General features: G+C 43.5%; 2 annotated features.

The window, feature by feature from the left end:
* Positions 1–190: an enhancer, noted in NCBI's record as "active region_5924". NCBI's record gives its function as "activates an Ori minimal core promoter by ATAC-STARR-seq in GM12878 lymphoblastoid cells {active_cell/tissue: GM12878}" and the evidence as "EXISTENCE:reporter gene assay evidence [ECO:0000049][PMID:35858748]".
* Positions 5,586–5,735: a silencer, noted in NCBI's record as "silent region_4206". NCBI's record gives its function as "represses an Ori minimal core promoter by ATAC-STARR-seq in GM12878 lymphoblastoid cells {active_cell/tissue: GM12878}" and the evidence as "EXISTENCE:reporter gene assay evidence [ECO:0000049][PMID:35858748]".

The raw sequence follows: 5,755 nt of genomic DNA on the forward strand, positions 1-5,755 counted from the left end.
ACTTGCCACCTCTTTTGGAAATGATTTGAAGAGGTGCGTCCGGAACGAGGGAAACTTACGACTTTTGCTAACGATCGCGGCGTGCTGTGTATCTCCTGTGCCAGTTCTGTCTCCCCAAGACCCCACCCCAAGATGGGCCCCATGGCCCACGTACCCGGCCCCCAGTTTCAGTAGGACGTGTCCTTATCCCTGAGGTCCTCCAGAAAGGAACCCAACCCCAATGGCCCGTGCTTCACACGCTCCTCCCCGCGCCGGTGGAGTAGGGGGCAGGAGAGACCTGCTGCCTCTGGCGCCAACCTTTCCATTCAGTGCGTCTTTCCTGCCTAGCCCACGTTCCCGGGCCGGAGCTGACACGGGGGTGGGAGGAGCCGAGTGCTTGCTCGTCTTGGGCAGAGGCGAAAGCTTCTTAAGGTGGAACAGGAATGTTGGGCTGCTGGGCCTCTACCGCTGGGATGTGCCGGCCCCTGCTTCCCAACCTCGCCTCCCAGTTTTTCATCTCTTGTTCCCTGGCTCCAGTCTAATTTTTAGGGGAGTGGAAATCAAACAGGCTGGGAAGAGGATAGAAAAATAACGTAGAAAAGCTGGGCGCGGTGGCTCACGCCTGTAATCCCAGCACTTTGGGAGGCCAAGACGGGCGGATCACGAGGTCAGGAGATCGAGACCACCCTGGCTAACACGGTGAAAACCCGTCTCTACTAAAAATACAAAAAATTAGCCGGGCGTGGTGGCAGGCGCCTGTAGTCCCAGCTACTCGGGAGGCTGAGGCAGGAGAATGGCGTGAACCCGGGAGGCGGAGCTTGCAGTGAGTCGAGATCGTGCCACCGCACTCCAGCCTGGGCGACAAGAGCGAAAACTCCGTCTCAAAAAAAAAAAAAAAAAAAAAAGGAAAGTTAACGTAGAAAACTGTAAATAATAAACAGTTATGTAAAGGAAATACAAACTATACAGATAACTTCACCTTTATGATTTAATATCTTGCGTTCTATTCCCCCCATTACTTTTTATTTTTTCAATTCCCATAGAGTCAATGGTGACCCCATTATCTTTTAAAGTAGCAGTTAGAATTTTTCTGATGGTGCAAATGTAAGCTCATATTTTGTCTGATAAATATTACTAAATGAATCGTTTCTATGTTGGTTTAGTTTCTCTCTAATAGACCTGACTAGAGTCATTAAAAGAGGTCAGAACTCTGTGTCTAGTGGCGGCAGGCTACCCCCTACTCCGTTGATCACAGGTCCCCAGGAATCTGGAAGAGTGGAGATGCGGTCTTGGCTGTGGTTCAGTTGTCTCATTTGTAAATGGGAATAACATTTCCCCACCTCGTAGGTTTAGTGTCAATCCTAAAAGACCTAGTGTAAATGAAAACATTGTAATCTGAAAGGTGTAAACAGACATTAGGTAGTATTACACATACAAAGCATATAATAATAGTAAACATAGTCCTAGCTATGTTCCAGCATTTTTAAACAGTACTTTAAATTTAATTTTTATTTTTTGAGATGGAGTCTCCGATCTGTCGCCCAGGCTGGAGTGCAGTAGCGCGATCTTGGCTTACTGCAACCTCTGCCTCCCAGGCTCAAGCGATTCTTCTTCCTCAGCCACCCGAGTAGCTGGAGCTACAGGTGCGTGCCGCCACACCCGACTAATTTTTGCATTTTTAGTGAAGACAGGGGTATCACCATATTGGCCAGGCTAGTCTCGAACTCCTGACCTCGTGATCCGCCCGCCTCAGACTCCCAGTGTTGGGATTACAGGTGTGAACCACCACGCTCGGCTAAACAGTACTTTTTAAAAAATTGTTTATCTTGTAATAATTCAAACACACACAAAAGTAGAGAAAATAAGATTTTTTTTTTTTTGAGACAGTCTCATTCTGTCACTCAGGCTGGAGTGCAATGGCACGATCTCAGCTCACTGCAACCTCCGCCTCCCGGGTTCAAGCAATTCTCCTGCCTCAGCCTCCCGAGTAGCTGGGATTGCAGGCACCTGCTATCATGCCCAACTAATTTTCATATTTTTGTAGAGACGGGGTTTCTCCATGTTGGTCAGGGTGGTCTTGAACTCCTGACCTCAGGTGATCCACCTGCCTTGGCCTCCCAAAGTGCTGGGATTACAGGCATGAGCCACCACGTCTGGCCCAGAGAATAGCATTTTAAAAAAACTGTTGTAAAAAGCAACATTCGTTCAATCTTTCATCTATCATCTGTACTCCTCTCCCCCATTACTTGATTATTTTGAAGCAAATTTCAGGCATTTCATGTCTAAATACTTTAGTATTCATAAATATTCATAAAATGGTAATTCCATTAGCACCTAAAGTATACAATAATTGTTTGATATCGCCCTCAGTATTGGAATTTTACCAGTTGTCTCATAATATTTTTTCCAGTTGCTTTGTTTTAATCAGGATCCCTCAAAAGGTCTACATATTGTATTTGATGGACATGTCTCTTGGTCCACATATATTGCATTTGGTTGATAAGCCTCTCAGTCTCTAGGTCCTTCCTCCTTCAGGCATTTAACTAAATATATTACATGTATAAAGGCACATAATCCCTTCACAACATTATGAAATAGGTACTATTATTATCCCCATTTTACTGATGAGGAAACTGAGTCACAAAGCAGTTAAATGACTTACCTAAATTCTCACAATTATTAGGACTCACAGTTGAGAACCACTATTTTTGTTTCACGTAATACACAGTCTCTAATAAGTGCTTCCAAAACGTGCGTTGTAGCATATTAGTCTCCAATTTTATAAAGAATAGTTTTGCTCAAGGTAAATTAACACTCATGAATAATTATATAACATGTTTTATTACAAAGAAGAGTGGATCCTTACATTTTAATTTCTGTATGTTTCAGTGACTTAAAAAATCCTTCTCCGTATTACCCGCCTTAATAGAAAGTAAAGTGAGAATGAATGTAAGTGCTTCCCCCCAATCTTAGGGCAAAACCATACCAAACCAGCCTTGTCAGTTTCTTTTAATTTTAAAAATTACATAAGCAAATCTACACAAACACTAATTATAGATACATTAAAAAATGAAGTAAATTAAAATAATCCATAAACTCACATCTTTGGTGTGTATCCATCTTCTATGTGTCTATTGGTATGCACACAAATATATGCATGAACATATATATATTTTAAAAAGCAACTATATGATTGCATTATACAAATTTTAAAATATTATTTTCTCACTCAAATAAGTCAGATATATAAAACAATGGTTCTTTAAAATAATGTATGCCTACTGCAAAATATCTAAATGATAAAGAACATTATAAAAATAAAACAACTCCACTCACTCTACCTTTCAGAGATAAATACAATTATTCTTGCAAATGCTAAATAGTACTCTGTTGTACAGATGTGCCATAATATATTTAAAATTACCCTATTTTGGATATTTAGGTCTTTTCTAATTTTCCAGTTACAAAAAATACTGCAGCAAATGTCTTGTAAAAACCAAATAATTTCTTGAGCTTTTTATTTTTCCAAATTGCCAGGAAGATTCTAATCCTTCCCTCATGTTTCCATTTTTAGTACAACTGCCTGTCACTCAAGCCCTCCAATTTCCATACACAGGAAATGTCAAAAACGGTTGAAACATAACAAAACATCTAATACATAGCAAGAAAGATTTGCCGCCAAATTATCTGCGTGTGGGAGAATTATTTAATGCCTCAAAGAGAGGAAAAATACATCTTTAAACCTGAATATAGGAAGTGTGAGCAGGAAGAACAGGCTTGTTTTGGTTTACTGCCTTTAATTTTGAGGATGACTTTAAATTCTGATCGCTCCGGACAATGGTATAGAAGTCAAGAGCTGGGCATCGGAGTCATTTGGATTTAAGTCCTGACTCTGCTACTTACTAATTAAGCGAACTCACACATAGTATCTGTAAGTCACAATTTTCTCATCTGTAAAAGAAGTATAATAATAGTGTCTTAGGGAATCGCTAGAATCATCAATGTGACAACACATGCAGAATGCTCAGTGCAATGCCTGGCATATTGTAAATATAATTATTCATATAATATATACATACAACTTAAGTATGCAGTCTTTTGGGGGCAATTCAAATATTTTGCAAGCAATATTTTTGTATTCGTATTATCTTTTTTTTTTTTTTTTTTTGAGACGGTGTCTCACTGTCTCCCAGGCTGGAGTGCAGCGGCACGATCTGGGCTTACTGCAACCTCCGTCTCCCAGTTTCAAGTGATTCTCCTGCCTCAGCCTCCCAGGTAGCTGGGATTACAGGCACGCACTACCACGCCTGGCTAATTCTTTTTTTTTTTTTTTTTTTTTAGACGGAACCTGGCTCTGTCGCCCAGGCTGGAGTGGAGTGGCGCGGTCTCGGCTCACTGCAACCACCGCTTTCCGGGTTCAAGCGATTCTCCTGCCTTAGCCGGCACTACAGGCGTCCGCCACCGCGCCGGGCTAATTTTTGTATTTTTAGTAGAGACAGGGGTTTCACCACGTTGGCCAGGCTGGTCTCCAATTCCTGACTTCAAGTGATCCCCCCGCCTCGGCCTCCCAAAGCTTTGGGATTACGGGCGTGAGCCACTGCGCCTGGCCTCCTATTATCTTATGTGCTATAAAGTAGAGAGTAGGCCGGGCCGTGTTTCCTGCCTGTAATCCCAGCACTTTGGAGGCATAAAAAGGGAGAATAGTTTAAACCCAGGAATTAAAGACCAGCCTCGGCAGCATACTGAGACCCTGCCTCTATTTAAAAAGAAGAAAAAGATAAAGAAAGAAAGGAAAGAAAGTAGGGTAGTTTGATAAAAGTTTAAAAAGCCTGAGTATGGGCCGGGCGCGGTGGCTCACACCTGTAATCCCAGCACTTTGGGAGGCCGAGGAAGGTGGATCACGAGGTCAGGAGTTCGAGACCAGCCTGGCCAACTTGGTGAAACCCCATCTCTACTAAAAATACAAAAATTAGCCGGGCGTGGTGGCGCGCGCCTGTAATCCCAGCTGCTCCGGAGGCTGAGGCATCCCAGCTGCTGGGGAGGCTGAGACAGAAGAATCGCTTGAACCCGGGAGGCGTAGGTTGCAGTGGGCCCAGATCGTGCCATTGCACTCCAGCCTGGGCAATAAGTGAAACAACACCTCAAAAAAAAAAAAAAAAAAAAAAAAAAAGCCAGAGTATGAAATATATGAGAATTTGCAGCAGAATAATATGACTTCAGGATGTGACAGCTGTAAAGGGTAAGCAGGCCAAGTATCAAGGTCCCTTCTTCGCTGAGCAAGATTGCGGAGAACAAGGGCCATGCACAAGTTTAGGAAGCTGAAACAAGGAACAGGACCCAGATCTTCTGATGTTTATTTCACCGTTACACGCTCATTTATCATGTATCCACTCATTCAAGGAGCATTTACTGAATTCCAGGATGATATAAGGGTAACATATAAACTTCACCCCAATCTTCACCTCAATGCTCATGATCCTTTATAAATTATCTCGAGGGAAAGAGAAGCCCATCAAAGACAGTCCTGAGAAAGCTGGGGCTGTTCATCTGTATACGGAGTTTAACAGAATGAAACGCCGGAGTTGGGGTGTCAGCTGGAATTGACGGTATACGGTGCGCACTAGGGACTCTCCCGACGGGGAGCAGTGAGTTGTCATCCCGGGTAGACGGCGAACTCCCGGAGCCACGCGGCCGCAGGTGGGCGAGGGCGGCGAGATCCCTCGCCGGCGTGAGAGCGGCCGTGGCTCTCCAGGCGGAGCGCACACCGGGTAGCGAG

This window comes from Homo sapiens, chromosome 12, assembly GCF_000001405.40.
Source record: "Homo sapiens chromosome 12, GRCh38.p14 Primary Assembly".
Classification (NCBI taxonomy): domain Eukaryota; kingdom Metazoa; phylum Chordata; class Mammalia; order Primates; family Hominidae; genus Homo; species Homo sapiens.